Source organism: Homo sapiens, chromosome 4 (assembly GCF_000001405.40).
Source record: "Homo sapiens chromosome 4, GRCh38.p14 Primary Assembly".
NCBI lineage: Eukaryota > Metazoa > Chordata > Mammalia > Primates > Hominidae > Homo > Homo sapiens.
In genome coordinates this window covers 189,179,699-189,206,853 of record NC_000004.12, presented here as the reverse complement: position 1 = coordinate 189,206,853, position 27,155 = coordinate 189,179,699, and the positions used below count along the sequence as shown (strand labels likewise).

Below are 27,155 nucleotides of genomic sequence, written 5' to 3'. Positions count from 1 at the left end.
ATATTTAGAAGCAAAATAGAGAACAAATCACAATTGCTTAGTTCACATAGAATTTTAATATTTCCTCTTAAGACTCAGAAAGATGATTCTAATATCCGGTATAATAAATTCTCCTCATAAAGCATTACAAAATAATTAATGATGGCCCATTTCAGTTTGATAACTCACCAGAACGTCCATTAGAGAGAATATCTGAAGTTTGCAAAAGGACTGAGGCTAGATGTGAGCCGGCAGTCTATATTTTCTACTGGCCAAAGGCAGTTCTTCCTACTTACAGCTTAGTGTTGGTCTCTGTGAGGCTTTACTCTGTTCAGTCTCTTGCCTCAGTATCCATTTGTGTCTCCTCTTCTTTTCGCCACCTAATTGTGCACCCTACCTGGGATTCAGTAGTCACCATGTTCTTTTTTTGGTTTGCTCTTCATCTTAGGACCTTTTTGATTTGCACAGCTTCAAATCACCTCTGGAGTGGGACTCACATCTGTGTCTCCTGCCCTGAGTTCCAACCTTGCTTTCTATATATTTTTCTACACTTTAGCATTCATTATTTATTCTGCAAAATCATCTGCCTGTTCTATTAGTTTTCTTATAACATCAAATACAATAAACTCATTTTCATATGAGATCAGCTCTCTAAATTTCAGGGCTTATATGAATGAAGAGACTGTCTAACGGTCCTACCTACCCTACCACAGCCCTGAGAATGCCTAGTTTGCAAACTTATGTTAATAGATACATTTGTTTACATCACTTTGTAGCTGAAAAAATAACAATAGGTTCATAGCTGCCAGGCTCAAATAAAAAGACATGGTTTCTACAAGTGAGTGAGCTACAGAAATGTTTGACAATAAAACATTCTTTTCACTTTTAATAAAATTTCAATTCATCATCATTATTATTATTATTATTATTATTTTTTTTGAGATGGAGTCTCTCTGTTGCCCAGGCTGGAGTGCAGTGGTGCGATCTCGGCTCACTTCAATTTCCGCCTCCCAGGTTCAAGCAATTCTCCTGCCTCAGCCTCTGAAGTAGTGGGATTACAGTCATGCACCACCATGCCTGGCTAATTTTTGTATTTTTAGGGCAGACAGGGTTTCACCATGTTGGCCAGACTGTTCTTAAACTCCTGGTCTCAGGTGATCCACCCTCCTCGGCCTCTCAAAGTGCTGGGATTACAGGTGTGAGCCACCATGCCCAGCCACAATTTCAATTTATTATTTAAATAAACTAACAAACTTTTATGTTTAAGGATGATGTCATTTTCAAGTTTTAGCAAACATATATTATTCGCACACACAAATGGATGCAGATGCACACTTACCCACGAGAACAAATAGTTCCCTGTTCCCAGAATTACTGTTGCCTTACAATGTGTTGCCTTCAGCAAGTTTCTTTCTTGTCTTTCCTCCTCCCCTTTCTTGTTTTCTTTTTTCTTTCTTTCCCTTGTTAATAAACCTAAAATTTGCTCAGATCTGTTTGTTCACATAACTAGCCATTTTAAATTATTGATTTATGTGGCATTTTGATCAAGTCATCTGAGCATGGCTAATTTGGGAATTTAGGCCTTAAACATTCTAATTTCCAGATAAATTTTTAAACATTTTTTTCACTAAAATGTGTCCTTTAGGAACACAAAAACTCAAGATTTTAAGAACACAGTGTAAACCTCTTTTTCTGCTTTTTCCCTTGATCTATGAACTCAATTAGTCCAAACTATAAACAACCCCATTTAATAAATAATTTTTATTATAAAAGCTATAAATTCATGAATCTGTCTGATAAAAATTCTTGACTAATGTGAAAGATCACCCTTTAAACTGTGCTATATCCATGTTATTTCAACTTTGTGTGAAGTTACCCAGCTATTAGTTTATATAACATTTCTGGTTTGGGATATCTACCTTGTAAAAATTCTTCAAATATATGAAAACAATTCTTATCTTCTTTCTAGAGTAACATTATTCAACTCTCAACATTACTGTGGTCAACTCTTATCATTTAATGTGAATTTAATGGATGACAAACTTGGCAGACGTGTCTCTCCCAAGGTGTCAAACTCAGTCTTACTAGTCTGCCACGGAACTTGAGGAGACGAAACAGAGGGGCCGTCTCCCACGCCATGCTGTCTTACAGCTTCTGAGGATGCGTCTTCCTGATGCCTCTGCTTCAGTTTTCACTCGTGCTACTTCTATCCATTTCAGCATCAATTGGTTCCTAGATTTTCGGATTTAATAATTCAGTAAACATTCAAAACAAAAATTAGGATATCAAACAGGTTTTCTGATTTTTGATTTTTAAAGTCAGAATACTAAAATTCACATTCAATTCCTCTCACTTAATATCGCAAAGTGTCTATTATCTATCTTTATTTTTCTAATTTTACTATTGGCTAAAAGACAATTGTTTTTTCCAGGGAGAGGGGAACATATTTGCTCCCTTTTATGTATGTTATTTTTGTTTTCTTTCACACTAGCTTTTTCTTGTTTATCCTTTTTCTAGCAAACAACGTCTTGCTTTTACTCTTCCATGAGAAACTTTTCCTGTCTTACCAGTTTGCAGACTCCCTCCCATGGTGCTTCTCATAGCTGCAGCTATCATAAATAAACAGCTTTATTTATTTATGAAACAGCTTTCATAAATAAACAGCCCCAACTGAAACTCACTTGTTACTGTTTAAGTAGAAAATCTTGGTACTTCTGGAACATATAACGTAGCCAAAATTAACATAAAATAGGTAACACAGAAGACTGGTAGAATGCAATGTTCCAGGAATGTGTATTTTGGGGATATTACAGTGTCCCTGTCTATATATTCAGAATATGCTGTATATTCAGATGAATATAAATGAAAGTTTCGGTCAGTCGAATTTTTGTTAGTCCACGTTTAAAAAGACCAGGGTATCAAGACTTTGGGAGTTGTTATTTAAGCAGATTAGCAAATTCAGTTAGCCAAATATTCAGTAACTTCAAACTTTCTCCAGTTGCACTGAGATTACCTGTGCTAGAGAAACATCAACACTTTTATCTATTATTCCAGAGCTGCAGAATTCCAGGGAAAGTTTAAATGTTTATCATAATATTATTCACCAAACTAATACTATAAACTTCCACACTTAATTCTCTGCCTTTATAGCCCATGAGTTGCCTTTCAGCAAACCGTGCTACAATGATATAGAGTTATTTACATCCGCTTAAGCCTATCAAAAGAGCCTCAGACATTTTGTTCAGTTTGACTGATAGAAAAGCCTTCATCTCAGCACTCCAAAAATATTATTGTGCACACATCTCCCCAGGGCATGTTACTATATGCTGCTAACAAAACGGTAAATAAGGTAGTTAAGGGGCTGTATTGGTCAAGTTTCTATTTTGGAGAGGGAAATATGCAACACACCAGGAAAAAATTAGAGAAAATAAATAGAATAGTTGCGAATTACAGTGAGTTGTTGGAATCAAATAGATAGGTAGGCCTAATTTCTATTGCAGTGTCGACATGTGAGCTGAGAGCTGATGGATGAGAAGCAGCCAGACAGGCTGCCTTCAGGGGAAGAAGCCAGAGGTGCAGAGGTGCTGATGACAGAAAGGGGTGGGGACTGACCTGCGAGATGGTAAATGCAGAGGAGCACGGAGAGAAAGAAGGCTGGGTGCCACGGAAAGTAGGAGCACTCACTGAACAGAGGCTTTTAGATTAGGAGAGTCTCCTTTGAAGACCTTGGCTCACGTCACTGGGTTTATGACTCAGAAATAGCTTCTAGAGCATTTGCTATGTTGAATGCCTTTAGGAACTTGGAATGTATGGAAGAGACATTTAAGAATGAGAAGAGTGTTTTCGGGCGGCAGTTCAGTGCCTTCTGTCCTCAAGGTTCACAAATGAGCTGTCAATGTGGGCTCTTCCCATGAGGTTTAGTTTACAAGAATCTGCAAACCACAGCTGAAACCCTGTGTAACGATCAAGCACAACCCGGGCATTTGAATTTCTGTTATGAAGCCCTCATGGTTTATTTAAACAGTTCACACTGGTTTATTTAACCACAAAAACACAAATTGTTGTAGGGTTTTAGAACTGTACATTTCTTAAGGGTATTATTTAAAGAAAAAATATAATGAACAGTGTTTGAACACAGGAATTTCTATAAAGGTAAGACAAGTGTTGTTTTCCTTCCTTCCTCTCTCTTTTCTTTCTTTCTCTTTTCTCTCTTCCTTTCTTTCTTTCTGTAAAAGATACTTACTATCGATTTATAGTCAGTAAACACGCTTTAACATTTTAGTAAGACATCATCAAACAGCAAATGGGCAAAATACAGTTGTAGAAGAAAATACGTCCTTTATTTGAATATATGTCACCAAAATAGAATAAATGTAGAATGTCTTCCCTGCCCTGCTTTTCTCCTTCTCCACGACAGGTGGCGCTCCTGAACTACCACAGGATGCGCGCGTTGCCAGGCCGCGGCTCCCCTGGGGCCACGTTGCGAGTGTGCAACGTGGTTTCAGTTTGGCATTCTCAGAGAATAGCTGAGACTGGATTTAACCAACTAGTGTTTATGTCACAATGTCCAGGGGAGTGAGACTGCGGTTGATAGGAAATGTGTTTATTGATATTGTCAAGAATCTGGCCAGAAACCCTATCATTACAGATCACCAGACAATGAACACTCACACAGAATGTTGTTCGAACGTTGCAATCATAAAGGAAAAGGAATCCGCTTAGCGTTTTAAATTTTAGGTTTGGAAACTTCTTAGAAATTTCTTTGAGCTGTCGAATCCAGTATCTTTGCTAAGAAGCTAGAAGTATCACAAAAACTAGTTTTTGAATGACTTTTTTCCTCAACTCCATTTATTTTTAAAAATCTTGAAATATCCACATATTATTTTCCCCTTTTTCCACCATTCAGCGATTTAATAACATACATTTGATTCAAAACATGTTTGCATTTTACACTGACATTGTAACTAAATAAGAGATTGGCTGTTTCATTTACAGCCAAGTAGCTCTGCTGTGTTCAGGTGCAATTGTCACAGGTAAAGTGTGTGCCATAACCAGGGCCACTCACAGTTCAACGGAACCAGGGAAAGAGGCAAACACGTTCTGTGACCCAAATGGCAAATCCCTAAGGAGAGCTTGCTGATGAATTAAAATGGCATTAAAACTGGACCCAAGAAATTGGACTGAGAGAGAGTTTCAGTGAGACAGACCTCAGGAAATCAGGAAATTCAGGTGATTATAGAAATCCCAGGATGTCTGAGCACTGATGCTTCCAGGTATTCACCTGCTCCATCATATTCTCCCTCTTAGTTTCTCTCGGTTTCTCCCTTTCTTGGTTTCTCTCTCTCTTATTCGGTCACTAATAAGTTCTTACACAATCTATATAAGATGATGTTTGCCTTCCAGGTAATGTTCTACTTTTCTATTTTCAAAGTTCCACGTCTCCTAATACAGCAGATTGAGGAAATGAATATTTGCCTTCTCCATTGTTTAAATGTCCACTCACTTTTTCATAAACTACTTCCTTACATAAACTGTTCTCTGCTGTGTGGTCCCCTGCTAGCCAATGCCTACAGGCTGTTTGTGCATTGTGTCTTTTCTTATTATACAATTATATTTAGTGTCACATTCGAGGATCTTGAGTGGTTCTAGTTAATCAGCCTTCCCCCAGGGGCGACTTCTCCCCTGCAGCTCGATTCTTGTCATAGATGAGCCTTAGACACCGTCTGATGCTCAAGCACTTTCTTCTGGCAGTGCCCTTACAGGAGGGTTAGTAGGAGTCGGCTGTGGCATGGGCCACACACAGTCGGGGTCAGAAGACTGACTAACCAGAGGACTTCCAGCCAGAGACCATTTTCAATATTTGGGGGACTCTTCCTCCTTCTTACACCTGTATTCAATCCAGGTCAGTTACTAGGGCTTTCTTTTGTGAAGAGGATTTCAGCCATTCTTTAAGGGTAAACTTTGTTTCAAGGCTTATGAAATTGGCATCTGTGCTGAGGTGGCCTTGTCTCTAGGGCAACAGGGGTTTTAGGTCCCCTTGTCATAGAGTTCTGGTAACCCCTGGGCCAGAATTGGAAATCCCCAAGCCAGGTGACATTAAGTTGCTAAGTGATACATAGTGTAGGCACTGTGAGATGTCAAGGTGGCCTTATGGCTGTCATTAATCTTATAGCCACGATATGTCTGTCTCTTATAGTAGACTACACATAGTCGTAACACTTCATCACATTCATTGTACTTACTCCTTTGTCTAATTTTCTATATTGCTTTCTATTGAATTAGTGCCTGAGGGCAGGGACCACATTTAGTGTTTACTGTTGTTTCCATAGTGATACTCAGTACAGTGTCTGGCCCATTGGAGGTACAAATCGGTCTTTGTTTAATTTAAATCTTGATGAATTAATTGCAGAAAATTCAGCAGAACACGTGTGAGGCTCTTCCGAGAGCAGGGGTCCATTCAACTGCATAGGCTGCATACTCGCGATCCTGCACTACTTCTAATAAACTAGAAGTGTTTACTGCAAAGCTCTCCTCGCTGAAAAATTTCAAGTAGTTCTTCTCAGCGACATAAAAACAAATCTGCTTAAACAACAGGATGTTTGCCAAATATGTGCTACTACTTTTCTTTGCTTTCTGGGCTCTCCATAGAGTCCACAAATACTGGCCGTTCATTTGTAGAAATGAAACTTCAGAGACTCACCTTCTGCAACGGCTACTTCTAAACTTGACATAATGTGTTTTTCAGTTTGATTATTAATGACTTTCCCTATCTCACACCTTTGAAGTTCAGCGTTGTCAGTCACCCTGGCATCATTTCTAAATGGAACGTTGGATGTTGAATCTTCTGAGTAAGTGTTTGCTTGTGCCATGTCACTGATTATCTAGAAACATAATGTTCTTGTGAAATAGATTTTCAGAAAACTAAAGCAATCATATAATAGATATTCAATAATAAGCAAAAAAGGAGAGTAAAAGATCATATAGTTTACATGAAATGATGTCTTAATGTATACACTGTTCTTTAAGCTTGGGGAAAAAAACCTGCTCTCTTTTTTCTTCACTTTTTTAAAAGAAGTATTTAGAGTCCAGCCATGCTGTCTTCTGGTGGCTCAGTCACAAAATATCCTCATTTCTAAGGACAGAAAATCAATTCCATGAAATGGTGATAAATGAAACAGGATTCTTAATGTTGATCCCATGCCCTTTTTAGAATGTAGTAAACTGCTTTAATCTCATGGCAGCCTCAGCAATTCCAGGTACATTCTCTTTACTATGGGTATTTTTCTTAATTCCAATAACCACACTTATGTAATCCAAAAACTTGCAGCCCTATTAAGCTTACATTTTATAAATTAAAAATGTGTGTGTATGAGCAATATACAAATTTCTTATTCAACAAATGAATTTGAACAATATCTAGAGGTTCTTTAAAGTGACACATGATATAATGCGTAACTTTTTCACAATAGGACAAAGTGATGGTTTCAGAAGGAAACCATATTCAATCACTATTGAGACATATATGTACGCTTACATTTTCTTTCCGTCAAACCAACCTAAGAAATCTGTGTAACGTTATTCTAGGGTCACCATGTAGGAGTGAATGAAACATTTGTGAAGCTGAATTTTTATTTATCTAGGGTAGGTCATCATTTACTTCTTCATGTGTCAATCTGTTTTTAACCACAATTCATAGGTTTAGGGTCACACAACTTATATTAAACCATTAATTTTTCTAGAATATGTGTTTTATTTTTATTTAACAAATGCACTCTGCCTACTATGCATAGGCTGTTCTAAACATTTTTAAAATATTAATTTGTTTACTTGTCGTAACAACACCAGGATGAAGGTACTTCGATAATCCCTGTGTCATAAAGGAAGCAAAAAGAACTGAAGTAACGGTGCGCACCGGAGCGAAGAATAACTATTCTGAGCTATGCGAGTCAGGAGGGGGTCACCTTAGCGGGGGCAGCGATGGCCAGAAAGAGCAAGGGGAGGGGCTTATGGGTGCTTGCACCCTTGTTTTTCTGGACGTCTGTGCTCAAAATATGCTGAGCTATGCACTTAAGGAGGGGTACTTTTCTCTAAGTATATTAGCATATATATTTATATATACATATTATTTTTCAATACAATGTTGGAAAAAAAAAAGCAGGTCAAATGTCTTGTTCAAGGTCAGACAACATGTAAATGGCAAGGCCAGGATTTGAGCCAGGCTTGTCAAAGTTCTTAATTACCGTGGTGGTAGAATACTTTTTTGAGGTGTTGGTTTTTGTTTTGCTCTTTGAATTTTCTGTCCCAGGTCTCTCCCATTCTGCCTTCTAGACAGCAAGACACTTACTATTTTCCTGCTTCAAGGATCTTTGCTCCCCTGAATCAAAACTTTAGGAAACAACAGTTGTTTATGCTATTTTTCCCTTTACATAAAAGTATAAAGCCACTGATGAGAAGAGAGATAGAAAACATCCTTTCTATAGAACATTCAGCATGATGTTGGCTGTGAGATTGTCATAAATGGCTCTTAATATTTTCAGGTGTGTTCCTTTGATGCCTGGTCTGTTGAAGATTTTATCATAAAGGGATGTTGGATTTTTTCAAAAGCTTTTTCTGCATCTATTGAGATGATCCTATGGTTTGTATCTCACTATAGGGAAGGGAGATAGAAAATAGTGTCTCTGAATGCAACAGAAAAGTAGAGATTTTCCACTATACTGATGAAAGGACAATGAGGTATGATGACCCTTAGAATGTGGAGATGGGTCCTTATAAAGTGTAGTTCCCACACTACCCTGAAACTGAGGTCCCATGAAGTTCCCACAGTACACTGAAACTGAGGTCCCATGAAGTTCCCACACTACACTGAAATTGAGGTCCCATGAAGTTCCCACACTACACTGAAACTGAAGTCCCATGAAGTTCCCACACTTTATAAGGACCCATCTCCACATCATAAGGGTATGTCAATGGGGATGGCAATGGGTGAAACAAAGGTTGCTGGAACCATGACATTCACAGCCTTTGCACAGATCCCTGGGGTAAAAAGGAACAGAGAGCCAGGGGATTTCATGGGACCTCAATGTTGTTGGCCAATGAGGATGTCACCAGTGACCATAATTGGATAAATATTAAATGAATTACATTCATTCTCCAGGCACTGAACATCTAGATTATTTGAACCAGTTTTTCCAATTCTTTGTCTTTAGTTTATTGAAGATCACTTCTTTGAAAAAAATAGAGATTTAAAAGGGGAAATACAAAAGTCTCAGAGACTACTATGAATGACTCTACGCACACAATTAGAAAATCTAGGGGAAATGCATAACCTCCTGGAAACACATCATCTCCCAAGATTGACTCAGGAAGAGTTTGAGACCCTGAATAGACCCCAATATCAACTTCTGAAGTTGAAATAGTGATAAACTATCAACCAAAAAAGCCCTAGACAAGATGGATTTACAACCAAATTCTACTAGATATACAAAGAAGAACTGGTGCCAAGCCTGCTGAAACTATTCCAAAAAATTGAAGAGCAGAGGCTTCTCCCTAACTTATTCTATCAAGCCAGCATCAGCCTGATATCCAAATCTGGCAGAGACACAATGAAAAATGAAAACTTCAGACCAATATCCCTTATGAACATTGCCAAAATCTCCAATGAAATAATAGCAAATTGAATCCAGCAGCACGTTGAAAAGTTAATTCACCACAATCAGGTAGGCTTTATCCCTGAGATGCAAGGCTGGTTCAACATAAGCAAATAAATACATGTGATTAACAACATAAACAGAATCAAAAGCAAAACCATATGATCATCTCAATAGATGCAGAAAAAGCTTTTGATAAAATCCAACATCCATTTATGAAAAAATCTTCAACAGACTAGGCATCATAGAAACACACCTCAAAATATTAGGAGCCATTTATGACAATCCCACATCCAACATCATGGTTCATGAGCAAAAGTTTGAACCATTCCCTTTGAGAACTGGAAAAAGAAAAGGATGCTCACTCTCACCACTCCTATTCAACATGGTAGTGGAAGTCCCAGGCACAGCATTTAGGCAAGAGATAAAAGGAAAAGGCCTCCAAATAAGAAAAAACATAAACTATCTCTTTTCACTGATATGATTCTGTACAAAGAAAATCCTTAAGACTGCCAAAAGACTCCCAGGATAAATGACTTTAGTAGTTTCAGGATACAAAATCAGTATATAAAACTCAGTAGCATTTCTATACGCCAACAAGGTCCATGCTGAGAATGAAATTAAGTGCATAATCCCACTTACAGTAGCCACAAGGACAATGAAATACCTAGGCATACACCTAATAAAGGCGAAAAATCTCTACAAAGAGAATTACAAAACACGGCTGAAAGAAATCAGAGACAATACAAATAAATGAAAAAAACAGTTCATGTGCATGGATTGGAAGAATCAATATCATTAAAACGGCCATACTGCCCAAAGCAATTTAGATTCAATACTATTTTTATCAATCTACCAATGACATTCTTCACAGAAATAAAAAATACTATTCTAAAATTCATACGGATCCAAAAAAAAAGCCTGAATAGCCAAAGCCATCCTAAGCAAAAAGAATAAGCTGGAGGAGTCACACTACCCAACTTCAAACTATACTATAAAGCCACATTAAGCAAAAGAGCTTGGAATGGGTGGGAAAGCAGACACATTAGACCAATGGAATACAATAAAATTTCAGAAACCAAACCACACACCAACAACCATCTAATCTTCAACAAGGCCAATGATAGCAAGTAACAGTGAAATAATTTCTTTAAATCAAAGCCACAGTGAGATACCATCTAATACCAGTCAGAATGATTATGTTAAAAAGTCCAAAAAACAGTAACGATAAAAACAGATGGTAAGGCTGTGAAAAAGGGAATGTTTACACATTGTTGATAGGAATTCAAATCAGCTCAGCCACTGTGGAGAGCAACCATGTGGAGATTTCTCAGTGTGGAGATTTCTCAAAGAACTTAGAACTACATTTGACCCAGTAATTCCATTATCCAAAGGAAAATAATTCAAAAGAAGGCATGTGCACTCATATGTTCATTGTCAAGCTATTCACAATCGCCAGTGGAATCAACCCAGGTATCCATCAATGGTAGATTAGATAAAGAACATATGGTCCATATACACTAAGTAATACTGCATGGCCATAAAAAAGTTAAGTCATGTCCTTGTAGCAGCATGCATGAAGCTAGAGGCCATAATTCTAAGTAAACTAACACAGAAACAGAAAACCAAATACTATATGTTCTAACTTAAAAGTGGTAGCTAAACATTGAGCACACATGAGCATAAATCTGGAAGCAATAGACACTGTGGACTTATAGAAGGTTTGGGAGAGGTGGGTTAAAAAACTACCTATCAGGTACTGTGCTCCCTATCAGGGTGATGGAATCCATACAACAAACCTCAGCATCACACAATGTTCCCATGTAATGAATCTTCCCATGTACCCACTCTGTCTAAAATAAAAGCTAAAAAACAAAACAAAGGAACAGACACAATTTATAAATTTGGAAAAAAACAGAGAAAATGTAAGTATACTTATTTCTGTATGCTCTTGACCTATATAGATGTAGTCTAATCTATGAGGGACAGATAGTTCATCTCAACACAGAGATTAGTTTTGGGATATTTTCTTAATACAAATTACCATGTTCAGTAAGAAGTAGGAAAACGAAATTGTAAATGAATGATCAAAGTATCTGATTTTGAAGTTTTAAAGTAGAAGTTCTCATTTGTCTGCTTGGACTGGGCCTTTTGCATTGACTTGCTTGTTTTATCAAGTTCATAATTTGCATTAGTCCATTGTTCTCATGCTGCTATGAAGCAATACCTGAGACTGAGTAATTTATAAAGAAAAAAGGTTTCATTGACTCAAAGTTCCGCAGGGCTGGGGAGGCCTCAGGAAACTTACAATCATGGCAGAAAGGGAAGCAAATACCTTCTTCTTCACATGGTGGCAGCAAGGAGAATTGTCAAACAAAAGGAGAAAAAGCCCTTTATAAAACCATCAGACGTCATGAGAACTCACTCACTATCATGAGAACAGCATGAGAATAACTGCCCCCATGATCCAATTACCTCCCACTGGGTCCCTCCCATGACACATAAGGATTATGGGAACTACAATTCAAGGTGAGATTTGGGTGGGGGCACAGAGCCAAACTATATCATGAATGCAATGGAATTTCTGGGGCTAAGTACAGATATTTGTTATATAAATTGTTTTTAAGGAAGAAGCTTCCAAATTTCTGCCAAATTTGAACACTTAGTACACCAAAAACAGGTCCCCTGATTTTAAGAATACAAAGAATATATAATACCAACAGAATAAATCATGCTATATTATAGTAAGAATGAAAAATAAAGAGAATGGCCGATTCTCTCAGGCTGCTCCTATTTGCTAGGATATCACTGGGGAAAACCGGAGGTAAGAAACTGTGTTAAAAGGAGATCGTCCTTCACAGATATTGCAAATACCATGACACTCCAGGGCTTTCTCCCAGTGTGTGTACTCAGCGTTGGAGTCTGGGTAATAGTCGCTTTTCGTCAACTAAAGTCAGCAGGACTGTCTGCTGGCTGAGTTTGGAATTAATTATTTATCTCCTGCAGGTCCGGAGCCACTCTAGTATATTCTCATTTTGGCCCAGAGGCATAAAATCGCAAGGGCAGCATCGTGTGGAAAGTGGTAGAAAGGCTCAAAATGGCTCTTGGGAGAATCGCTGCAAACAGTACACAGCTGATTATTTCCTGGTCCTGAATGATAAGCTCTCTGGGTGCCAGAGTATATGCATTGGAATTTGGTCATGAAAAGGTTGTTTGTTTTTATGTTTGTTTTTGTTTTTGTTTGGTTTGCTGCTAGGAGCCAAGGCCCATCAATGAGTCAAAAAGACAGTTTATTGCCAATAATAGGCAACCGTCAAGATCGGACTGGCACCCTTGTTTTCTTCTCTCTGCCCAAATTGTCCTTGGAGCCTTTGCTGTCTCTTCCTATTTCTATCGTTGTCTCTTCCAGCCGAGCCACTGACATTTTAGATTCCTGTGTATCCCTGAGGTTATGAAACCTACAATGGAAGAATGTAAAATGTCTTGTTCTCATAAACAAGAAACACCTGGGATCACAGCACTCCCGGTATATTAGTCTTCCCTTCCCCTATAGAAATGCAAAATATACAAGCAGTACTGTCAGGAATATGAAACTTTTCTTCACTTCTTCCCTAGAAAATAAATTCATGGGTTTTATATATAGGAAGATACTTTTTAGAGAAGAATTTACCATTTGGACTTTTACGGATTTATTATTTTGAATATTACATACAAGATCAAAATAAGTCAAAGAGTTTTTTAAAACACGTAGCTCTTAACTGTCTTAGGGGAAACCACATGTACCAGTCACCTTGGGCTGCAGTAACAGCTACTATAGACTGGACAGGTACACAACAGAAATTCACTTCTCACAGATCTGGAGTCCAGTTGAGAAGGTGCCGGCAAGGGACAGTGCATTCCGCATCTTCTTCCCCTGCCTCGTAGGAAGCCACCATTTCACTGTGTACTCACGTTGCCTCTTCTCATGTGTTGCTAGAGCAAGATCACTCTCTCCCTCTTCCTGTTTTTAAAAGGGCACCAGGGCCAGGCGCGGTGGCTCACGCATGTAATCCCAGCACTTTGGGAGGAGAAGGAGGGTGGACGAGGTCAGGAGTGCAAGACCATCCTGGCTAACACGGTGAAACCCCGTCTCTACTAAAAATACAAAAATTAGCCGGACGTGGTGGCGGGTGCCTGTAGTCCCAGCTACTCGGGAGGCTGAGGCAGGAGAATCGCTTGAACCCGGGAGGTGGAGCTTGCAGTGAGCTGAGATCGTGCCACTGCACTCCAGCCTGGGCGACAGAGAGGGACTCCGTCTCAAAAAAAAAAAAAAGGTACTAGTTCTATCGATTAGAGTCCTGTCATTATGACCTCATTTAGCCTCATTATTTACTAAAGGCCCTGCCTCCAAATACAGTTGTCCTGAGGGTTAGGGTATCAGCATAGGAAGTGGAGGGCGGCACAATTTAGCCACATTATCACATCATAGAGGGGATCGTAGTATTTGTATGCTTGTTCCCTCCAAATCTCATGTTGAAATGTAATCCTCAATGCTGGAGGTGGGGCCTGATGGGCAGTGTTGGCTGGTGGGGGTGAACGCCTCATGAATGGCTTGGTGCCCTCCCCTTGGTAATGAGTCCTTGCTCTATTAGTTCACACTAGAGCTGGCTGTTTAAAGGGCCTGGCATCCCTCTTCTCTCTCTCTCTTGCTCCCTCTCTTCCCAGGTGACATGCCTGCTTCCCATTTGCCTCCCTTCATGATTGGAAGCTCCCTGAGGGCCTCACCTGAAGCACATGCTGGTGCTTGCTTCTTGTACAGCCTGCAGAACTGTGAGCCAAACACACCTCTTTTCTTTATAAGTTTTCCAGCCTTGGGTATTCCTTTATAGCAACACAAATGGACTAAGAGAGGAGGGGATTAGAAAAGAACAAAAAGGCTTGATAAAAGAGAGAATAAAGGCAGCATTGGGCAAGATACGATCTCTACATTCTGTCCCACTGCTTCCTAGTTCCACTCTGTTCACCTCTGAGTTTCCAGGAGCCATTCCAATGGATTATTTTGCTTTTCCCTCCTTCTTCCTATTTTACTTACTGTCTTGGAGAAGTTGACAATGTGGCCACTTTTTATCTTGAGATGCTTTTCTTCCTTCTCATTCCCTTGGTTTCTCTTGCTTCACTTATTCCCTGACTGCTCCTTCCTGCCTCTTCCATAGATTTATTTTTCCCCAACCACCTCTTAAATAGCTCCATTTCCTAGAGTTGAGGACTAGTCCTTCTTTTCTTTCTAACTCAGGTACCATTGTTCCTGTTCATTCTTTCACCTGCTGCTTTGTAATGAGGACTCAAACTGATATTTGTATCTGGTGTTCTCTCCTGCACTCTAGGATTCTATATAAACCCAACCCTTCAGACGTCGCATCTGTTCTTCAGATTCAGTGCTTCTACCATGGGGTCAGGGCATTCCCCTCTACAGTGAGATGCTTCCCCTGCTTTTTGAGATGCTGCTTCTGCTTTTCTTCTCTGATTTTTGGCTCAGTCACCTGCATAGCAGGCCTGACGGCCATCTTACCTGTCACCTCTTTCACTCTTGTATGTTTGCTGCCAGTCATACTGCTAATGCTTCCAAGTAAATCTGATACTTGGTCCCATTTCTGCTGTCTCTGTCCACATTGCCACTGCTTTACTCCAGCCATCCTCATTCCTCATGTGAACCATTAGTCATTCTCACTGCACTCTCTCCAGCCGTGCCTTCTCCAGTCCATCTTCCACATGGCAGTAGAGTGATCTTCCCAAAACAGTTATTTGAAATCATTCCCTACATTTCCAGTTTCAGTGGCTGCCACAGTCTACAATACATGATTTGAATTTCGTGCTATGGTGCACATATGCAGTAGCAACCATGAAAAAAATAATCACGCCGTCTGTTCTTGAAAGGTCGGATTTTGCTCTCATGTTTCTTTGCTTTTGCCTTTTAAAATAGAACAGCTTCTATTTATTCTTTAACCTCACCTCAAGCAGTACTTTTTAGAAAAGCCTTCAAGATTCTACCCAGCAAACTTAGAATAGCCCTTCCACAGGCTGTATTAGCAGGAAATGTGCCCACATTTCCCCACAGAGTGCTCAACACGCCGTGTTTCCTGGTTTGCTGCCACACTCATTGGCTGCCTGGATCCAGGGAAAATTTCATCATTGGTCCCGCTACGTAGCACATAGTCTTTGTTTAATGAATGTATAGCAAATGTAATAATTAATGAAATGCATTATCAAATATATAGCAAATTTGCTATTAAGTGTTTGCAAGTATGTTCATACATGTTATTACATGTATAGTAAAAAAAGGTATTAAGAAAATTTGTTTCAAAAATGAGCTTTCAAGGATGACTTACATATTTTGAATAGAGATGGGGAGAAATAAAGTTTTTTTCAGATAAAGTAGCACCAGCACTGGCACAGGGGATGTTCAAATCAAGTGAGTTATTTGATGGGAGAAGTTGGGGGAAGTAAATGTGAAGAAAACCATATTGTGGCAAGCCCTGAATGTGTTATATTTTCTCTGATTAGAAGCCAAACAAAACAAAACTTTAGCACAGACTGTGTTATAGAAAGATCTTAGCTGTATTCTACCCCCAAGAGGCATTATGTACTATTTGAAATATGAGGAAATATCCAGGAATACCAGGTGGTTACTTTGCATGTAAAGGACCCTCATGAGGATTCCACTCTCCAAAGAGAGTGATTACAAATAGTTCGATTATCTTTTGTCTTGATCAGAGCTACTCATTTCTTCTTATGTGACATAAAGCAAGCTAGAAATATTTTATCATTGGTGGAATGTGTCTCATTAGAGATATGTGAATGGACTTGGGAAAATGTAAAACACCGCCCTCCTTGCACAGACAAGGCAAGTGTGGTTAGCAAGCTCAGAAATCTCTGCACCTCTGATCACAGCCTTGGCTTAGGGCCCCATTCCACTCTGCCTTTCTGTCACCTGAGTCCACTAAGAAAGTCACCTGAGTCCACCTGGACATATTCCACCTTCCTGGAACTGGAATATTGTTCCACATAAGCTCATACGCAAGATAATTGTTGGAAGGCTAAAAGAGAAGAAAGATTTGTGATATCATTGATCAAATAACACCAGATATTGTGTGACAGGTTGCAAGTGCTGTTGAGGGAAGTCAGGGACCCCGAACAGAGGAACCAGCTGGAGCCACAGCAGAGGAACATAAATTGTGAAGATTTCATGGACATTTATCAGTTCCCAAATAATACTTTTATAATTTCTTGTGCCTGTCTTTACTTTAATATCTTAATCCTGTTATCTTCATAAGCTGAGGATGTATGTCACCTCAGGATCACTGTGATAATTGTGTTAACTGTACAAATTGATTGTAAAACATGTGTGTTTGAACAATATCAAATCAGTGCACCTTGGAAAAGAACAAAATAATGCGATTTTTAGGAAACAAAGGAAGATAACCACAAGGTCTGACTGCCTGTGGGGTCGGGCAAAAAGAGCCATATTTTTCTTCTTGCAGACAGCATATAAATGGATGTGCAAGTAGGGAAGATATCACTAAATTCTTTTCCTAGCAAGAAATATTAATATTAATACCCTGGAAAAAGAATTCATTCCTGGGGGGATGTCTATAAATGGCTGCTCTGGGAGTGTCTGTCTTATGTGGTTGAGATGAGGACTGAGATGCACCCTGGTCTCCTGCAGAACCCTCAGGCTTACTAGGGTTGGGAAAACTCCGCCCTGGTAAATTTGTGGTCAGACTGGTTCTCTGCTCTCGAACTCTGTTTTCTGTTGTTTAAGATGTTTCTCAAGACAATACGTGCAGCACTGAACATGGACCCTCATCAGTGGTTCTGCTTTTGCCCTTTGTCCTGTTCCCTCAGGAGCATGTGATCTTTGTTAGACCCTTATTAGTAGTTCTGCTTTTTGCCCTTTGAAGCATGTGATCTTTGAGCCTACTCCCTGTTCTTACACCCCCTCCCCTTTTGAAACCCTTAATATAAACTTGCTGGTCTGAGGCTCAGGCAGGCATCATGGTCCTACTGATATGTGGTGTCACCTCCAGCGGCCCAGCTGTAAAATTCCTCTCTTTGTACTGTCTCTCTTTATTTCTCAGCTGGCTGACACTTACGGAAAATAGAAAGAACCTATGTTGAAATATTGGGGGAAGATTCCCCCAACAGTGCGCATGCATGTGTGCTTGGCAGAATTAGGTCTGAGACTTGATTTTATTCCACCTGGTCATGGTAGATGTTTATTGGAAACTATCTACCCTACCCCCCCCCCCCAAAAAAAAAACTAATAAATGTGAAAAGCCAAAGTGATTTAGGTCAGCCCACAACACAGGTTAATAACTTGATATTTAATTGGTTAGGACAAGGGAAATCATTGACATTCTTGAGTGGCCAGTGGTTAGTACATGATGCTTTTGAGCCAAGAAAAAAAGTTGTTCTCTGACAGGAAGTTAGCTTCAATTCCTGCTAAAGGTGAGCTTTTCTATATGTATATGTAAATCCAGACTCTATAAATTGGTGTTGATGGATTATCCCTAATCCACAACCATTGCTACTGCTACTATTTCTAATAAAAATCATAATAAGCAAATGTCATACCAATATCTTACATGTTACCACTGGGTTTTTACTTTGATATGGTTGCCAGCGTGCGATCAGTACTTCGCAACTGAATGTTGATTGGGGTTTGTGTGTGTTTGTGTCAGGCTTTAACATTTAGGTTTTTTAAGCCATAATTTTTCAAACTGTTGGCATGAGAAAATCCTTGGATGCTCTTGCACCACCCCTGATTGCTTTCTGCATCGATTGTTGGCGTCTGTGCTGCTCCACCGACACTTAATTGTAGGGCAAGAGCATTAGACAGCAGTTAACTTGTTAGTTTTTTCTCAAAACCTTGGAGACTTTCCCAAAAGTTCTGCTCCAGGAGAGATCTGGCAGCGTTCACCTGAGATGAGTCCTTTCCTTCTGCCACCTTCCCAGGACAGGGCAGGAAAGTTGGACACTTTCCGCCAAACACATGAAAAATAAGGATCAGAATCACTCCTCCAGATGCCTTTATTTCTTGCTATGGTTTTGACAAGTTTAATGAGTGCTAAATTTCTCTGTTGTATAGGAATGAAGATACAGGCATGAATATACCTCATGAAATGATTAGAATTCAATTAAAGTTAAAAGACAGCCTTACATTGTGTCAAAGCTATATCACAATTTGAAATTCATTTTCTTACGTTCTATTAAGCCTCAGATGCAGGAGGCACAGTTTTACCTTTAATAACATCAGGCTATGTTACACATTTGTCTTAAATGTATCAACCTGGTAGGAAGAAAAAAGTGTTTGCAAAAGATGTTAATTTCCCAGTCTCTGACAAGCTGTCGACCAAATGACTTTTCTGTGACAATAAATAGGTTTTGCTTGACATACTTATTTATATACTATTTAATACACCTTGTATTGAAAGGAGATGAATAATAACATGACTCAATGCCAGATTACCTCACTCTATGCAATGAGAAGCTAATTTCAAGACCTCTAATATCAAATGACACTAATCTGTTCCAAATTCTCTGTGACTGCCTTCCTTTCTTAGGAAGAAACTGTAGGAAAAGGGAGTACTGTTCCTGTTTTCTCTTATGACTAGAGAACAGTAAATATAATAAAATTATGGAATTAACTGACTAGTATAGCTTTTTCACTTTCAAAAATTTACAAATAATAAATGTATCAGAATATAATGATGGAAGTTATTTTTTATACCTCCCAATATCCTATTTGGGAGAGTTATTTAAGGTTTTTAATCTTTTAGAATTCATTCTGAAGCTATAGTTAAAGACTAGCAACTGAATATTTAAAATTTACCTTGTTAGGCTGGGCACGGTGGTTCATGCCTATAATCCCAGCACTTTGGGAGCCTGAGGCAGGTGGATCACTTGAGCTCAGGAGTTTCAGACCACCCTGGCAACATGGGGAGACCCCATCTCTACTAAAAATACAAAAATTAGCTGGGCATGGTGGCACACACCTATAATCCCAGCTACTCTAGTGGCTGAGGCACAAGAATCACTCAAATCCAGGAAGTGGAGGTTGGATGGAGCCAAGATCAGGCACTGCACTCCAGCCTGGGCAGCAGAGCAAGACTCTGTCTCAAAAAGAAATTACATTATTAATGATTTAATTTTTTCAGAAATACATCTTCTTGTATATAATAGGGATTGCTTTTGTAATTCAAAGCCAAACGATCTGAGTATATACTTAAATGTATCCTAATTAAGGGCTTTGTGAAGGGAAATTTTAGATTTTTAATTTGGTGACAATTTTAGAATCAACTAAAATATTAACTCTCTAACAGCCTAAGAACCGCACGTCAGCCCTAATATTAACTCTCTAACAGCCTGAGAACCGCACGTCAGCACCATGCTTACAAGTGATTTTATTCAATAAACATCTATACAAGCCTGACTTTTTGGTGCACGTATTAAAGAAAGGGCTTCTGGACTGCAATTGCTAGCAAAACTCTCAGGGATGGACAGCTCATACAGTGCTCAGAGCATCTGCTGTACCCACCACCTGGGTCTCATTCTACTCAGACTCTGGATAGAAGGTGAAAGATTAAACAGGGCACCCACATGGGCAAACTGAGACCTTAGCAGTCAGTTAAATATAGGTAATAAAACCTCTGCAACTACCACCCTTGTGCTTTATCAATAAATTTATTTTGGCAAAACAAACTAAGACCAATTAGTACTTTATGGTACAATTATATTTTAATATTCCCGGTCTACTCAAAGGCAAAGCTGAGGCACAATATATAATTTCAAGAGTTGACCTGAGCCAACGTGAGCACAGCTACCCAGAAGACTCAGACCCGGGTCAGCGTGGATATGAGCTCTGTGTGGCCTCTGTTACAGGCAGGCTTTTAAAACAAAAAGGCAGGCAAGGAATGGGCTGACACAAAGTTGCTGGTCAGGAATTCTCACTGGTTTACAGAAATAACAACCGTTGGTGATTGGCTCTTTGTTGTAAGGATTAGGGATCAGGTGTGTGGCATTGTTAGGTTAATTGACAGCTACTTGTGAGAGAGCAAGCAGTTTCAAGAGCTGATTCCCTAGCCCCAAGAAGGAAGGGGGATGGGACCGGGGTCTTACTCCCTGTCTCTCTGGACCTCATCATTTCTGCAGATACAAAGTTTCCTTTCTTTCTCTTCCTTGAGAGAAGGGTAATCAAAGGAAACCTCAATTGTAACATTAAGGAAAGAGAAAAAGTGGAACTAGTCACCTGCCTCCCTGGAGAACCTTAGGTTTTGCTAGGGTAGTATCACTCTTGTGTTTGAAAGTTTAGTGTGAATATTTACAAAGCAGCATGCCTTTCACAGGCAGCCCACACGTATCTGCGGTCTCCTTTATGTCCTCTTCAAGAATTTCTCCAAATTATTGCCTAATTCAAATAATGAACAATGGGGTTATTTTCACCAGTATGTCAGGTTAATGTAGACAAATCCCATCATTACTTCCTTTGTGACGGTTTGTATCAGCACAAAAATATTCATTCAGTTTTTGTTTTGTTTTTGTTTTGGTGTGTGTCTGTGTATGAAATTTGGGTAAATGGTAAGGAAACCTTTCTTAAAATTACCTCAAGAAAGTATAGCATTAGAAATTCTGGAAAGCAATATGATTATGAATTGATTTCAGGAGTCCCAACTTTATGACCTTGATATCAATTCTCATTAATAGAAAATAGAATTCATAGATAACATGGGCAGAATGCAGCACATTAAAATACACTTTTAATCCAAAAACTGTGGCTCATTTGCCGTTGGTGGCCGCATTGAGCTTTGCATTTTTCTCTTGCCACTTCATAGCACTGCAGAGTCCTGGAAGTTGCCTTGTGTCACAATTGTGAGCTGTCAACATAAGTAAAAGTAGGTATGAAACCTGATAACTTTGGTCAATTACAGAAACTCTTTTCTAACTGCAATAATGTAGTCAGCAAAGCCCTCCCAGCATTGGTTCAAAAGGTCCAGTCTAGACTATTAGAGGCCCTCTGTCCTGTGGGGGGACTTCTATGCCACCAGGTGGGCTTCTGAGCTCGGATCCTCTGTCCTGTGGGGGAACTCCTGTGCCATCAGGTGGGCTTCTGAGCTCGGATCCTCTGTCCTGTGGGGGAACTCCTGTGCCATCAGGTAGGCTTCTGAGCTCGGATCCTCTGTCCTGTGGGGGAACTCCTGTGCCACCAGGTGGGCTTCTGAGCTGGGATCCTCTGTCCTGTTGGGGGACTTCTATGCCACCAGGTGGGCTTCTGAGCTCGTATCCTCTGTCCTGTGGGGGACTCCTGTGCCATCAGGTGGGCTTCTGAGCTCGGATCCTCTGCCCTGTGGGGGACTCCTGTGCCATCAGGTGGGCTTCTGAGCTCGGATCCTCTGCCCTGTGGGGGGACTCCTAAGCCACCAGGTGGGCTTCTGAGCTCATATCATCTGTCCTGTGGGGGAACTCCTGTGCCATCAGGTAGGCTTCTGAGCTCATATCATCTGTCCTGTGGGGGAACTCCTGTGCCATCAGGTAGGCTTCTGAGCTCATATCATCTGTCCTGTGGGGGAACTCCTGTGCCATCAGGTAGGCTTCTGAGCTCATATCATCTGTCCTGTGGGGGGACTCCTATGCCACCAGGTGGGCTTCTGAGCTCGGATCCTCTGTCCTGTGGGGGACTCCTATGCCACCAGGTGGGCTTCTGAGCTCGGATCCTCTGTCCTGTGTGGGAACTCCTGTGCTATCAGGTAGGTTTCTGAGCTCTTATCCTCTGTCCTGTGAGGGAACTCCTATGCCACCAGGTGGGCTTCTGAGCTCGGATCCTCTGCCCTGTGGGGGACTCCTATGCCACCAGGTGGGCTTCTGAGCTCGGATCCTCTGTCCTGTGGGGGACTCCTATGCCACCAGGTAGGCTTCTGAGCTCGGATCCTCTGTCCTGTGGGGGAACTCCTGTGCTATCAGGTAGGTTTCTGAGCTCGCACTCATCCAGAGTGACAAGGCCTTCATCTTAAATTTTTCCCAGGGCATCTCCATTTCAGCCGACACACTCACAGAAAAAGGTCCATCTTTATAGAAATCAAAGTAATTATGACTGGCTGCTTCTGCACTGCAGTGCCGTAGATCAACATTGTGCTATGTTCATTACTGACAAGTACATGCCTTAAACTGTGAGAATTCAAACTGTGAGACAGATCCAGAAACAGTTTGGAAAAAGCTTCCTTCCTAATAGCATTGCCGTTATATGCAACACCAAATGCAGAATTCTAAAAAAGAAGCTGGACATACGTGCACAATATTGACACTCCTCTTTGCTTTGTATGACAGTGTCTTTTGTTACTGCATTAAAGTAACAGTGAGACAGCTTTTTTCCCAAATATCTCTATGTATTGTACATTTTAAACATTCTTAACATTGAGTATATCTTTCAACATGAAGACGTGTACATTTTAAACCTCTACCAATACTTTCCTCCGATAATTAATCACAGGGCTAGCTGATCAGCCTGAAGTTAACTTGAAGCTGTGTGAGGCATTTGAAATCCTTCAGCTCCCAGTTGTGCCAGCCATTAGTAACACAGGGCTGTGGTTTGCAAATTATCTTCATCCACACGTATTCCACCCCTTCTGTACAACAGTGTAGATGTTGCACTCAAGTTGTTTATGGCTTTATTTGTTTAATAAGGAAATACGTTATTTTCAGGCATTTGCTGCAAACTGTTTCATAGGAAATAGGGAAATGTTTATTAAAATACTATAGCATCAGAGGAACTTTTTGTATTTTATTTTAAGAGAAACTATTTCTCTTACGGCTTACATATGATTGTGTTAACAGGTCAAACACAAAGGTAGATTCGTTTCATCTAGGTATTTTTAAGGGAAATATTTAACAAACTTTTTCCATTTTTGTATCTATATGCATCATGTATTTGATTTCTCCAATGATTCCAAACAATGCCACAATATGTTTTACAAATCTCTTTCTTTTAAAGGGCAAAGTAATTCATTTGTATTCTTGCAGTTCTTGAATGACCCTCAAAAAACCAGTTTCAAGTTTCTAAAGGGTAGTTAGTTATAAATAATGAAAGAAAAAGAGTAATTTTTTCATGCTGTGGGAAAATATGTTGAAAGTAACCTTTTTAGTTTTGTAGAACATAAAAATCAACGTTTGGTTATATTCTTTCCGGCTAAGTGTTCTTGCTGCTTGTTTGCTACATGGGATTATTTCTACATTTTTTTGTTTTATTTTGCCAGCTAGTTCTTTGGTGCTACCCATTCAAACTGTGAAAAGAATATGTTTCTTGATAGCAACTTTCTTGTTGAGCTGGCTTTACACCTTTACATGTTCAAAACTATGATTTGTTTCCACACATAATAGGACTAAAATGTGCCACAATTCCCAGAGTAATACACAAATGAGCAATAAACAAGATGAGTAGATTCAAATGCCTATTGATGCAATTCATAATTCTTAGAGTATTGAGTCATAAATTGCTATGTTATATAAAAATATATAACATATTTAAGGTATATTCTAAAGCAAGTTACAATGATACTTGGAAAGAAACACATCAAGTAATTATATTACTTTAATATACTAATAGAATGATACAGCATTTTAATATTTATTGCATTGCATTCTTATTGCTTTCTACAATCTTCCATATATTATCCATGTCAGGGAAATTGTACACATTATATGCCAAAATAGGTGGTATAAATCTTCTAGCCATGAGACCAATAAATGGAATTATTAGTCATCCACTTAGAATATATAAATAACTAAAATACTTCAATTAAAGGATGAAATACTATTCTATTGTTTGTATCTAAGAATAAGATAAGGAAACTGACACATCTATTTCTTAAATATTAACCTGACCTCAGTTTTTCTGAGTGTAAAGCTAGATGTGACAGTGAAATCCTGAGGTCAGGTTAATATTTTAGAATAGGTTCAAACCATCTAGGCCAAACCTAAAGCCAGGGCTGAGCCATTTAGGTTTCATCTCTAGCTCTATGGAAGTGACTCCACATCAACCCAAAGGCTTCTTCCGGTTTTCACTGGGAGGCTTTAAGCAGGTTCTCAGCTAAGACCCGCTGTTGGACTTTGCTCATCTGCAGCTCTTATTCAGGTTTCCTGTTGGGTGCGCGATGGTAAAGTCACAGAGACCTGTCAGGAACCACCAAGGCACTTAGCTGCCAAGACTTCCCCAAACATCATTTTCAACCAGCTTCACAAAGGCCAATGAAGACCACTGAAGCCACGTCCAAGTGTTTCAAATGGGAAAACGAGTCTCAATGTTGCAATTTCCTAGACTTAGATATATTTAATGAAAGAACTCAATTTACTCACAGTTAATGTAGTAATGAGTAGAAAAGAAATGAGGATAGGTGGAGCAATCCCATTTTTGAGTGGTTTATGTGGTTTCTTTGGAAAAAGAAAGAAAGAGGGAGACAAATTACAAAGGAAAGCATGACCAAGCAGAGAAGCCTTTAGAGAATTAACCAGAAATGAGAATTAGAAATCAGAATTAGAGAATTTCAGTAATTTGCCCAGAACCACCCTGAGAGTTGGTAAAAGGGCAAATGTTTGAACCCTTGTACTTCCTCTGTGAAGTGGAAACTAGAAAAACTGCGCATTGTTCAAAAGACACAACAGGATCCACACAGAACTGGGATTCCAAGCACATGCCAAGAATGATAGAGTCCAATTTCACACGATATGGATGGGAGAGAATTCCTAACGAGAGGTCGTCAGCATAAAAACAGGAGGCCTATATTCCAAAAGTGAACTTCTGAAGAGATTTGAAATATCAAAGAGAAAGGAAAAAATATAAAATAATAACAAGATTTTCTTAAAAATACAATTTCGTGTTTTAAAAAATCAGATATTTTACACATTATATAAATTGAATAAAGTATTAGTGGGCTTAGTAAATTAGTGGACTTAGTTAACTGAGATATAGACAAGAGGAAATGACTGAATATAGAGACCAGTGAGGAAAAGAGATAGAAAATATGAAAGAGAATTTGAAAAGTGGAGGAGAGAAGCCAAGGCTCCAGCCATTATCTATTCGAAGTTCAAAGCAGGGAATTGAGACAATGGTTAAGATGCAATCTTCTAAATAAATTTGATGAGAGTTTTCTAGAATTAAAGAAAGATGTGAGTGCTCAGACTGAAGATTTATATTAAGTTTCAAGCAGCACGAATAAAAGCAAATTCCCACTTAGACACACTGCGGTACAGAGTTGAACCATCCAAAACAGAGGAACACTGCAGGTTACTTGCAAAGGAACAAGACAACAGATTTGTCTCTGGCATTGGTAAATGTCAGGTGGCAATGCAATCATTGTAAGGAAAAACAAAGGCAATTTCAGACATGAAAGACTGAGTTTACCGCTCACAGAGGCTTGCTGAAAATTCTCCCCAAAGATGTGCTTCAACAATGAAAAACCCAGAAGAAGAAATAGATAGAAAGTAATTGTATACATAGAAGTTGGTAAAACTTGTTACATTTAGATTGGTATTGATTGGAATTGAAAAGAAACCTTAAGACAATTTTGGTGAAACTTTTAGAAAAATGAATATTAAATTCTACATCTCAAAAATATGGAAGATGAGAAGAGTATAGAATTGTATTGTTTGGGAAGATGACAAAGATACTGAGCCACTTTAGTCTTTCCAAAGATAAGCATGCATGTTGACCATTTCAGGGTAAATATAAAAGTATACTGCTTTAATTTCAAACCGGAGAAAGCCAGTATGGGAATTAAGAATTAAGGAAATGCAATCTATACAACAGTGGGCAGAGGAAGGAGAAATAGAAAACAAAGTAAAAATATGAAAAATTAGAACCCACAAAACCAGGTCATAGAAACTATATTATTTTACAATATTAATAAAAAAGAAAATAAGTCAGTCTTATTTTAAGACAGAAACTTTCAGCATAAATAACAATAAACCATCTTTGTGAACAGTATGAAGAACCTATATTTTATCAATAAGAGGACAATATAAAAAATTGTAGTACATTTGTAAGATAAAGTAGTATATAGTATTGGGACTCAGAAAACAATAACCCAAAATGAAGTCCTCAGAAACAAATGTTTTTCCCTGTCTCCTGCCCACCTATCTCAGTCTCATTCTCCCCTGAGGCCAGCCATAGAAACTGGAATCCCTCTTCCACAAAGCAGGTTATAGAAACCAGAATCCCTTTTGCCCTATGCCAGCCATAAAACCTAAAATATTATTCCAGCTTTGCCCCCTCAATTCCATGCAAAACTGGCAATAAAGACACTCTCCGACCGACTTTGACTGCAGGTCATGAGACCCCATTGCAGAGAGGGCCCTGCCCCACACCAGAGGGGAGGGATGATGCCCAGAGAGGCCAGGAAGAATCTGCATGTCAGGCCTTGCTGGGTGCCCCCACTCAGTGTCTCAGTCCACCCAGTGTCTCAGCACTAGATCACACCCTTTTTGTTTAATCCTATTTCCACACAG

General features: G+C 39.3%; 1 long non-coding RNA gene across 1 annotated transcript, besides 1 other annotated feature; it reads right to left on the bottom strand.

The window, feature by feature from the left end:
- Nucleotides 1-1,972: 1,972 nt before the first annotated feature.
- LOC124900838 (uncharacterized) lies at nucleotides 1,973-3,709 on the bottom strand. Its single transcript, XR_007058428.1, has 2 exons — nucleotides 3,592-3,709; nucleotides 1,973-2,211 (listed from the first exon to the last, which is right to left on the bottom strand). It is a non-coding gene; the product is annotated as an uncharacterized LOC124900838 (long non-coding RNA).
- Nucleotides 20,064-20,991: an enhancer, noted in NCBI's record as "OCT4-NANOG-H3K27ac hESC enhancer chr4:190107017-190107944 (GRCh37/hg19 assembly coordinates)". NCBI's record gives its function as "activates a minimal SCP1, AML or CMV promoter by ChIP-STARR-seq in naive H9 embryonic stem cells {active_cell/tissue: H9 hESC(naive)}" and the evidence as "EXISTENCE:reporter gene assay evidence [ECO:0000049][PMID:30033119]".